The sequence below is a fragment of the Homo sapiens genome, chromosome 2 (genome assembly GCF_000001405.40).
Source record: "Homo sapiens chromosome 2, GRCh38.p14 Primary Assembly".
Taxonomy (NCBI): domain Eukaryota; kingdom Metazoa; phylum Chordata; class Mammalia; order Primates; family Hominidae; genus Homo; species Homo sapiens.
Genome location: NC_000002.12, coordinates 107832002 through 107844189, shown reverse-complemented (window position 1 = coordinate 107844189; position 12188 = coordinate 107832002). Strand labels below are relative to the sequence as shown.

Genomic DNA, 12188 nt, shown 5'->3' with positions numbered 1-12188 from the left:
TAGTTGAGTTATTTTGTTTCTTAGCTAAAACAGTATTTTCTGAAACACCAGTGATGCTAAGTGCTTATACTAGTACATGTGAACCTAGCCATCTGATGACAGATGAACCTTAATTTTCACTCAAGATTATACTATTATAAAAAAATAAAATATGAAATAGCAGTTAGAACATTCATTTTAAGCTTGACTATGACAAAACTGAGTATTTAACCATAAGGCTAATTTTAATCAAGCTTGAACTATAAGAGTTCTCTAAAAAGGAAAGTCATATAAAACCAATTAGAACTTCCCCGTAAAAGAAGAAAAATAAGATTGCCTCCTAGTGGTTCACTGTATTAACTATAACTCCTAGGTACATTATAGAAATAATGATTCAGTAAAGAAATTTAGAGCAATGAACTTACTGCAAAAAGAAAAACTACAATTTATACTAAAGCATTCTCCTCAAAGTCAACGCACCTTTCCAGTAATTCTCTACTTTCCTGCACATCTCTAGTGGAAAGCGTAAGAAGCATAAGATTAGCATAGGCCAGCAGTAAGTCTGTATTGGTTGCTCGCCAGTCACTTTTATCAGACTCCAAACACTGTAAAGACTCCAGATATTCCTATTTTGTGGAATGAATAGTAAGTTACAAAACTTAATCAAGTGTTAAGAAATTAACCATTTTATGCCTACAAATTCCTTTTCTCACTCCAACCACGTTTGTGAAACTACATTGATTTTTACATCAACCTTATAAATGAAAACACCAAAAATATACACATTTATCATAGTTATCTCCCCAATTTTCCCATTATAAATTCAACTGATCCTGGTAAAAATTTCGTTTTATAACTGTTCTACCTAAATAAAAGAAATTTAAGTCCTGCGGGGCACTGCTGCTTTAGTACAAAAAGATGTATGCTAATTGCCTACATAGAAATGTAAAGACCCAATAGCTTTTATCTACCTTAAGGGTCTGTACAACACACGAATTCCACTCTAAACTTGAACGCAAAGCTATGTTCCTCTCTGCCTCATGGCAGCGGGCCACAGCATCCTTCAATCTTTTAGTTGAGCGATACAACTCCACTAGCCGGATGTTCACATGGACGTCATCAGGTCTTACATAAAGTTCTGACTGAATCAAGTCAAAAAGTTTATTCCATCCATCTTCACCTTCACAATCTAGAAGCTGTTCCTATTTAGAGGGGAAAAAGAAAAATTATTAGAGTAACACTTGTGCAATTTTAAACAAGTCATGCTCCCAAAAAGCACCATTCCACTATGTCTAGTTTTATGATGATGCCACCAAAAACACCATCCTATATACCTTATTCGTCCCTTCTGAGAGTTGCTTACAACCCAGAAACTAAGCCTCAAGAACTGTATGTGAAGAAAAGCATCTGTGATTACTGCGGTAGCTCATACTCTCTTCAGAGACTACCAGGACTATTGCCACACATCCCTGTCCATCTGAGTCACCATCAGAAGCCTAGACCTCCCCAGTCAATCCTCAGCAACAAGGTCCTTATGCTCAAACTGCTCTGTATCTCCTTAAATCTGACTCAATCCCGCATCCCCTCTCCTCCCACTGTTCTGTTACCTTCATCATCATCTCAAAGCACTGTCATCACCTCCTGACCTTAAATGAAGACAGTATCATCTCAGGATAACCCCCACTACCATGATGGCTTTTTCTCTCTGAACTTACATACAAGGAGAGGAAGTAGGGTTTGTGGCCACTCACTTCTCATTTGCGATGCTCTTCCATCAGCCTCTCAAGAAGCTAGGACCATAGGCATGCACCACCATGCCCGGCTAATTTTTTTTTAACGTTCTGTAGAGATGGGGTCTTGCCGTGTTGCCCAGGCTGACTACTCAGTTCCTTAATCACCTCATCTCCAGTGATGTTATCCTCCACTCCAACCTCAACCATCCACTTGCCACTGACACAGGTCTTCAAAATCTGCATTTTGGTCATACCACCGAAACCACCATACCATCCTTCTTATTCTTCCACCTCACTGAGGGCCTACATACCCTTACTTTCAGAAATACCACATGACAAGCTCCCTTCAAGACAATAACATCATCAAGTTTTAAACACCTGTAAACACATATAAATACACACACTTTCTTCTGTCAGGCAAAAAATGCTATAATCCCTTATATCCATAATTACTGTTTGCTTACAGATCCCTTCAACTAATTCCCTCTTTTCCTCAGAACCCTCCCAACTGGTTTCTGTGTGCTTAGATTTGGGAAATCATAACCCCAAGCTAACTGATTTCATTTGCATTATCTCAACCATCAAACTGGTGCTGCCTAAAACAAAATACCATTTTAGTACTAACAGACTCACTTTCTCCACTCCCTGACACTTCACACCTCCTCCTATTTCCTCAACTTCCCCATACCTTCCTTTGACCCTCACTTTCAACTTATAACCTAGATTCATCCTTCACTGAGAAACCTGATGCTATCACATATAAATTCCATTTTACCTTACCTACTTAAACTCGTCTTTCCCCAACTCTCAAGACCAAGCCGCCCATTACTACTCTGTATTTCATTCCCCTCTCTCCTTTATCAATTTCTCCTCTTCTGGATGAGATGGATGAAACCCTGGCCTCTCCCTATTGCAAAAGCCCTAGTCTTTGACTCTATGTTAAACATTTTTTTAAAAACCACTATGAGTGCTTTTAAAAAGTTCTATCTCATACTTGAGAGAAAAAGCCTTCTCAACAGTAATACTCTCATTCATTAAACAAATGTCAGAAACTGTTTACCTTAGCAAGCCTTAAATTTTAGGAGAAATGGAATTACTTTGCATGACAGTTATAAATCTCATGGATTTCAATTCCAAAAAAAAAAATCTGATACAGGAAAGGTGTAACAGTGCCTTCAAGTTATTAAAGAAAATCTTTAAAGAATGCTTCAAAGTATCTAACTTGTTACACTGCAAGAAAAGAATCTCCTACCATTACATATGTTCTTTAACACTACTGACACCAGATTAACTGGATTGCCACGCCCAATATGGGAGTTATGTTTGAGGCATAACACCTAAGAGAGTAAAGAAATCTGCACAATTAGACCTCATGTTTTAGACTAATATTTAAAATCCAGCTGCTTATTACTGGGGAGAAAAACTTAGCAGTAATATTTATCTTTGGAAGCATCTTCAATGCTTTTTCAGCTTCAAAAATCTGGACATGATTGTTCATAGCAGTTGAACAATAGCCAAAACCTAGAAATAACCAAAATGCCCCTCAAAAGTGAATGGTTAAGGCTGGGCACAGTGGCTCACACCTGTAATCCCAGCACTTTGGGAGGCCAAAGTGGGTGGATCACCTGAGAATCCGGGAGGCAGAAGTGGCAGTGAGCCAAGATAGCACCACTGCACTCCAGCATGGGCGACAGAGCAAGACTCTGTCTCAAAAAAATAGAAATAAAAAAAGTGAAAGGTTAAATTGTGGACCATGAAATACTACTCAGAAGTAAAGGAACCAACTATGGATATACAAAACTTAATATGGATCACAAATGGTATTATGCTGACTGAACAAGCCAACCTCAAAAGGTCACATGCTTGGCTGGGCGCGGTGGCTCACGCCTGTAATCCTAGCACTTTGGGAGGCTGGGGTGGGCAGATCACATGAGGTCAGGAGTTCGAGACCAGCCAGGCCAACATGGTGAAACCCCGTTTCTGCTAAAAATACAAAAATAAGCGGGACACGGTAACATGTGCCTGTAGTCCCAGCTACCCGGAAGGCTGAGGCAGGAGAATTGCTTGAACCTGGGAGGCGGAGGTGGCAGTGAGCCGAGATTGCGCCAGTGAACTCCAACCTGGGCAACAGAGCGAGACTCCGTCTCAAAAACAATGAAAAAAGAAAAAAAAAGTCACACATTTCATGATGACATTTACATAACATTTTGAAATCACCAAAGTATAAAGATGGAGAACAGATTAATGTTGCCAGAGGTCAGGCATAGTGAAGAGAAGTAAATAGCAGGACTACAAAAGGGGCAGCATGAGGAAGATCTCTGTGGTAATAGAGTAGTTCTGTATCTTGACGGCAGTGGTGGTATGAATCTACACGTGATAAAATGAAAGAAAACTATACATACACATTGTACCAATGTCAAAATTCCTGATTTTGATATTGTGCTTTGGGCGGGTTAAACAGGTTGAGTATCCCTTATCCAAAATGCTTGAGACCAGAAGTATTTCAGATTTTGAATTTTTTCAGACTTTGGAATATCTGCAGGATACTTAGCAGGCAGAGCATCCCAAATCTGAAAATCTGAAATCCAAAATTTTCCAATGAGCATTTCTTTGAGCATCATGTCAGTGCTCAAAAAATTTCAGATTTTGGAGCGTTTAGGATTTCGGATTTTAAATGCTCAACCTGTATAAGCATTGGGGGAAAATGAAGTAGCATATAGGATCTTTCTGTGCAATCTTTGCAACTTCCTGTGCAAAAAAATCTATAATTATTTCAAAATTAAAATTTTTTAAATTTCTATCAGAAACATATATAATGGGGGTAGGAGGAGGCTAAAGGCAAATATACATTTATAATTTTATATTGTACATACACAATAAAGTATACATTAATAGATAAAACATTACAATATACATTTTAAATGTTTGCCAAACATATTTGTGTAGATTTTCTCCAGAACAGTTACTTAGTAAACTATATTTTACTCTATAAAGAATATCAGGACCAGTCAACACACTAGCAAGAACTTCCTACCATTTTTAGTAATTACGTCTTATATACTAGAGAAACCACCTTTTATCTTTTGCTTGAAAACCTTACTATCTCAAAATACAATCCCTTCCACTTTCAGACAATAGTTATTAGAAAACACTTCTTTAAAATATCCCTAAATTGTCATCCTGTAGGTAATTTTCACTTAATGAAGCAAAAATTGTATACTAGACAGAACTTAATGTAAATCTTAGCTCTACTTAGTTTACAGCTACTAAACTGTAAAATCCCTAAAATATTAATTATTCCAGAAGGGTAAATGAGATGTCACTTATAAAGTATAACAATGCCTAATAAGACAGTAGATGCTGAGAAAGGTTTTAATACACTTTTTAAAAGAAAAATGTTAAAGGAAACACAAACACCTGGGCTTAAGGTTTGCTATTGAAAAGTAATTTAAACTCCAAATATTAGAAATGGTTATGTCTTAAGTTTTCTCCCTTTATGTTTTGTTTGTTTACCTTTAGTTTATAAATTGCAGGACTTCCTGGGAAAAGTTTTGCTGCTCTTTCCACCCAGTATTTTGCTCTTCCATCAGTAACATCATTTTTACAAAGCAATTCTGCAATCTTCAACACCAGATCTTTTTGTGTTGGGTTTAATTCCACTGAACGCTAATATCAGAAAAGAAATTAAAGATTAGTAAATAAATTGTATGTATGTATGTAGGAGTATATATACTTATATACTTATATATAAAGGTTAAAAATTATCACTCCAACTCTTAAAAAATTCTACTTCTAGAGAAAACATATTACTTCAAAGGTGTTAAAATAAAAGTGTCTTGGAATTTTCTGGAAATGAACCAAATAAAAATTATATTTGTGTCATTTGAATGCAAAAAACACAAAAGAACACCATTTCTGACCGTGTTAGACTTACAATTTATAGGTGTTAAACAATTCTAAATCTGTTCCAAGCTGTGTCACGTAACTGTACTATGATACCAATGCCTGTTTTATGATATTCATAAAATATATTTGACTTACTTATATAAATTTCTCTGGGCATCATGTGTTTGGCTATGCAAAGGCTATATTTGAATCCTATAACTTACCCTGTAACATTCAACGGCTTTCTCTGTGTTTTCTTCCAATTCATAAAGAAGACCCAGAAATCTGTGAGCTCTGGGATCCATCTCTCGCACATTAATGTAAGTACATATGTATCTGTTTTTTAAAAGTAATACAAAAGTAAATTAAACTTAGAACTGTACTTTTAAATGCTAACCGAAGAATACATCTTAAACCAAAGCAACCACTAAACTCGTTTATATTGTTACTCAAAACTACCACTATTCATACAGATAACTCAAAAGTATTCATAGAAAGAAATGGGTAATACTTAAAAACACATACATAGAGTTGACCACATACTCATTTTACCATTAAATGTCACATTTACCAAATTTTTCTCCAGTGTTATCCACACATAAGAAATGAACATATAAATTGCTTTTTCTTCCTGATCACATTTTAATAAAGCACTAACAGTTTTGCAAATAAATTAGAAGTGATTATAGTAAACATTTTTAAAGTTATCATAATGCAAAATACTAAACAGCAACAATTTCCCAAACAACAAAGGGAAATACACTTACCCTTTAAGCAAGAAAGTAATTTCTAACAGTACTATATATCCAGCTAAAATCGAACAGAAGAAAAATTACTAATTACAGTACCAAATACAGGAAATTTCCATTTCTCAAATCAAGTAACAACTAAAATAAGTAAATATCCTCTAGGTTCCTTGACAGTATTACCATCAGAGAAATGAGGCCAGACCTAAACTAAGGGATTAAAGTCTCACGGTAAAAAGGTACAAGAGTTAACAGTCACAGTGCTGCTAGTTACATAATTTATGTACCACCATTTTCCTTTCTTACCAGCATTTCCATCTTCCTTTGGATGCCTTTAAAAGCCTGCCTCCCAGCTGGGAGCAGTAACACACACCTGTAGTCTCAACACTATGGGAGGCCGAGGCAGGCAGACTGCTGCGCTCAGAAGTTCAAGACTAGCCTGGGCAACATAGTGACACCTGTCTCTACCAAAAAATGCAAACCTTAGCCAGGTCCACGTGGTGGTGCGCATCTGTATCCCCAGCTACTTGGGGCGCTGAGGTGTAAAGATCTCTTGAGCCCAGAAGGCAGAGGTTACAGTGAGCAAAGATGGAGCCAGCTGCTGCACTCCTGCCTGAGCAAGAGAGACAGATACTGCCTAAAAAAAAAAAAAAAAAAAGCCTGCCTCCCTCTTAATTTCCTGCTTTAATCCACTCCCAGTCAGGAAATCAGAATCACCAAGCTTCTTATCCCTAGGATAGAGCCTTAGAGCATCACATATTGTGTCAATTAAAGATCTTTTATACAAGCTATTCTCCTGCCTTACAATTACAGTTTAATTTTTTATTCATTGCTATTTTCCATCTGATTAAGGTATCAGATATCTAACCAAAAACAAATTAAGATATAGGCATGGTCCTCTTTTACTTCAACAGAAGACAATTTTTAGAAAAAGTCGTTTTAAGCCAAACAATTTCTTGCCCTTGGTATAAAGCAGCAGCATGCAGAAAACACTAATTACAGTTTCAATCTCAATGGAATCTAGGCTGGTCCTTAGCATCAGTCTGAGTGATAAATCCCTTATTCCAGAATACACTTAGGAAGAACTACTAAGGATATATTTTTACCTATTTCAAAGAAGAAAATGAGAAAAGGCATTGATTTTAAAAAAAGAATACATGTTACAGTTTGTACTTACTTTTTAGCAAGATCATATTCTTTAGCTTCATAATACAGCTTTGCAAAATAGAATCCTCTCGTTGACTTCTAAAAAAAATTAAAAGTTGTTTTACATTTCATACAGAAATATTTTCCAACATTTTTTCAAAAGTAGTAAAAATCTGCCCTAAGTTTATGTTCAAATATGCCATTTTCATTCACTTAAAAATTTTTTTTAAAGCCTGACAAATGCATAATTCCATGTTTTATAATTTCCTATCACAAAACAAAAAATAGAGCTGGGTGCAGCGGCTCATGCCTGTAATCCCAGCACTTTGGGAGGCCGAAGTGGGTGGATCACCTGAGGTCAGGAGTTTGAGACCAGCCTGGCGTTATAACATGGTGAAACTCCGTCTCTACAAAAATAGAAAAATTAGCCAGGCATGATGGCGGGTGCCTGTAATCCCAGCTACTCGGGAGGCTAAGGCACGAGAATCAGTTGAACCCAGGAGGTGGAGGTTGCAGTGAGCCAGAGGTTGCAGTCAGCTGAGATTGTGCCATTGCACTCCAGCCTGGGCGACAGAGACTCCATCTCCCAAACATCATCATCATCATCATCATAAATAAGCTGGGTGCAGTTGGTCACAACTTTAATTCTATTTAATTCTAGCACTTTCAGAGACCAAGGTGGGAGGCTAGCTTTGAGGCCAAGAGTTTGAAACCAGCCTGTGCAACACAACAAGATCCTGTCTCCAGGGGGAAAAAAATAGCCAGGCATAGTGGAGCATGCCTGTGTTCCTAGCTACTCAGGAGGCCAAGGAAGGAGAATCACTTGAGCCCAGGAGGTTGACACTGCCGTGAGTTATGACTGTGACACTGCACTCCAGCCTGGGTGACACAGGGAGATCCTCTCTCTAAATAATAAATACATAACATACAAAAAATAAATTCAAGAAAGCAAGACAAGCAGACAACAGAAGTTAAGAATTTTCATCAGCCTTGGAAATCTTGGAAACCCTGTGGTACCACTCTCTCACTTAACAAACAAAAGAAACCAGCTTTCTTTGGGGAGGAAAGGTATTCCAGAAATCTCTTCTCCTACCATGTGTAAGCCTCTATGGGAAAGAATAACTAAGTACTTAGGATCTATTAAGGCACTGAGGATTCCCTGTGCCTCAATAGTACATGTACTGTTCTCTCTACAGATCAGATCAGTATTTTACAGTCAAGGAGTCAAAAAGGCAGAAATAAATATTGAATTCTTCAAGTAATAAACAAGGTCCACAGCCTGGCTCCTTGGTTACATAAACTCCAAAGTCCAAAATGCTGATGCACACCAGGCTGGGTGCGGTGGCTCACACCTGTAATCCCAGCACTTTTGGAGACTGAGGCAGGTGGATCACTTGAAGCCAAGAGTTCGAGACCAGCCTGGCCAACATACAGAAACCTCCTTTCTACTAAAAATACAAAAATTAGCTGGGCATGGTGGCACACGCCTGTAATCCCTGCTGCTTGGGAGGCTGAGGCAAAGAATCGCTTGAACCCGGGAGGCAGCAGTGGGCCAAGACCGCACCACTGCACTCCAGCCTGGGCAACAGAATGATTCCATCTCAAAAAAAAAAAAAAAAAAAAAAAAAAGCTGATACAACCAGAGTATGTTCCATCCATGTGATACAGAGTATACAGCTACTCAAACATCTTATTTTTGAAATTCCAAGACCCCAGTGAATGTCCAAAACGATGAATAGTACCAAACCAGGTTGCCATCAATCGAAACATGTTTCCTGTTTGTGTCCTCCACCCACAAATTTAATGTCTTGTCCATCTCAACTAAGCACTTATCACACACTGTGGCTGTAACTTTTGCAGTTTGGGGTGTCACAACAAAACTAGCACAAATTTCTTTTTCTTTCTTCACAATTTCATGGACAAAAGATTTGTTCTTACCATAGATCTTAGCAACCCCAGTATATGATCTTTTTTCTTTCCTAAGTCAAAAACTCACCTCTTCACTTAAAGGAAGCACTATATGGCTTCTCTCTGGCATATGTGAACTGCCAGCATCGCTACTCTTGCTCTTTGGTGCCATTTTAAATAAAATAAGGGTTACTTGAACACAAGCACTGCAATACTCCAACAACTGATCTGATAACTGAGGTGGCTAGTATGTAACTAGCGGGTGGGGAGCACATACAGCATGAATATGTTGGACAAAGGGATGATTCGTGTCCTGGGTAGGACGGAGCAGGAGGCTGTGAGATTTTTATCATGTTATTCAGAACTGTTTGCAATTTAAAACTCATGAAATGTTTATTTATATAATCTTCCATTCAATATTTTTGGACCACGGGTGACGCAGGTAAGTAAAACCACGTAAGGCAATACTGTGGATAAGAAGGGACTACTGTACCAGCAACGAACAATCAGAAAAGGAAATTAAGAAAGCAATTCCATTTACAATCGCATCTAAATGAAAAAAATGCCTGGGAATAAATGTAAACAAGGAGGTGAGAGACTTGTATGCTTAAATTACAAAACGTTGCTCAATGCCAGGCTAACACCTGCAATCCCAGCTCTGGCAACAGAGCAAGACTCCATCTCAAAAAAAAAAAGAACTATAGCAATCTTAACAAAAATAATACACAACAGTCAGGACAGCACGTATAGGAACAAGGCTTGTTCCCCCCTTCCTTTTTTTGTTTTTGAGATGGAGTCTTGCTCTGTCACCAGGCTGGAGTGCGGTGGCTCGATCTCAGCTCACTGCAACCTCTGCGTCCCGGGTACAAGCTGGGACTGCAGGCGCACGCCACCATGCCCAGCTAATTTTTGTATTTTCAGTAGAGATGGGGTTTCACCATGTTGGCCAGATGGTGTCGCTCTCTCGACCTTGTAATCTGACTTCCTCCACCTCCCAAAATGCTGGGATTACAGGCGTCAGCCACGGAGCCCGGCCAGTTCCCCCTTTTCAAAATGAAGAAATAGATTCAAGGTACAATGCCAAAACATAATAGAAAAATAATTCCATTACCTTCTTTGCTTCCAACTATGTTATTAAAGTAGACAATCTTAAGATAATTAAACAACTTTACAAATTATTCTTCTGTATGATCTTTTGCCTCTAACCTGCTCACTTTACAAGGGAACTGAAGCTCAAGCAGGCAAATGCCTTGTTTAAAGATATATAGCTAGGAAGGAGCACAGCCCATGTTATGTAAACAGGACAATATCTGATTCAAGCAGTACTTCTTTGCATGACAGCAGATGTCACTATAAGCAAATACCTGAATTCACTTAAGCTGCCAAATATCAAGAACTGATGCAGGGCTGAAAACAGGAACAGTAAGACCCCAAGAGATGCCACATCATCACTATCTTGCACAGTAAGATAGAGATGTAATTGTAATTGTCCAAAACTTAACATTTGTGGCCTACTTTTTCATTATGCAGTTCTAAATTTCTCTCTTTTTTTTTTTAATTCAAACGGAGTCTCGCTCTGTCACCCATCTTGCACAGTCAAATGAATCTCCCTCCCCCTAAAATCCTCCAAAAAAGCTGCTGTTCTCAACAAACCCATCTGATCAGCTACAAATCTGTGGAGTCCCAACAAGGGTGAAGGCCGCGATTATACAGGACAATGAGGAAAAGTCTAGATACTGAACCATGAGTTCCCCAATCTTCTTCCCCTGGAACATAAGGGTAAGGAAATCTCTCAAAAGGCAGAACAAACAAAAGAGGAGAATAAGAGAAAAATTAGAGAAACTCCAGCTTTCAGGTAAACATCATTAAAAAAAAGGGTAAGAAATGGTCAAAGAAATAATACAAGAAATGCTACAGAACTGAAAGAAATGAGTTTCCCAATTGAAAGGACACTTCCAGAAAACCTTTGTTACCAAGAACAAGAATCTCATCAGACTCCTAACAACAGAACTTCTAGAAAATGGAGCAATGCTTTCAAAATTGCGAAAAAAATTATTTCAAACTCAGAATTCGATAACCAAATGATCAACTAAATTAAGTAAAGACGTTTTAAAGACATACCATTAGTTTCCAGACCAGCCTGACCAGTATGGTGAAATCCCATCTCTACTAAAAATAGAAAAAATTAGCCAGGCATGCTGGCGCACACCTGTAATCCCACTACTCAGGAGGCTGAGGCAGGAGAATCACTTGAACCCGGGAGGCGGAGGTTGTGGTGAGCTGAGACCATGCCACTGCACTCCAGCCTGGGCAACAGAGCAAGACTCTGTCCCAAAACAAAAACAAACAAAAAAACCTCTCATCCACTTTTCCTCAAAGCAAGTGAGACTATGCTACACCAAAACAAAGAAAGTAAATGAAGACGACATGAGATACAAGAAACAAAGGGTCTAACTCAGAAAAAAGATGAAGGGAATTCTCAAACTGGTGATAAAGGGAAGTCCCAAGAGCACAGCTGTGTAGCAAAGAGGAAGAAAACCCAATCCAGGTTGGAGAAGTCGGTTAGTAAGGGTATTCCAGGTAGACAATCAATCAATCAATCAATGTTTTAAGCTGAAATTGAACGGATTATGTGATCAGTTTGACCACATTTGAGGGTTTAAGTTGCTGAGTTTAAGTAAGCAAGTAGTAACACAACATACAAGCAAACCAAAAAATAAAGCAATTATTCAGTCCAGGAAAAACAAAACTGCACAACAAGGGCAATTCAAATGCAAAATATTTACCTTAT

At 38.2% G+C, this 12188-nt stretch overlaps 1 protein-coding gene across 8 annotated transcripts in view; it reads right to left on the bottom strand.

Annotated features, from left to right (window-relative positions):
- The window catches only part of RGPD4 (RANBP2 like and GRIP domain containing 4), a 65653-nt gene that overhangs the window by 48355 nt on the left and 5110 nt on the right, over positions 1-12188 (bottom strand). For all 8 annotated transcript variants that reach the window (XR_922911.4, XR_007073111.1, NM_182588.3 and 5 more), the window contains exons 2-6: positions 7521-7588; positions 5822-5933; positions 5226-5378; positions 951-1181; positions 460-605 (exon numbers count right to left, since the gene is read on the bottom strand). Coding sequence is in view for 6 of the 8 variants with exons in the window: in NM_182588.3 (NP_872394.2) it covers positions 460-605; positions 951-1181; positions 5226-5378; positions 5822-5933; positions 7521-7588 (710 nt within the window). In the remaining 2 variants the exon portion in view is untranslated. The remainder of the gene's footprint in view (positions 1-459; positions 606-950; positions 1182-5225; positions 5379-5821; positions 5934-7520; positions 7589-12188) is intronic.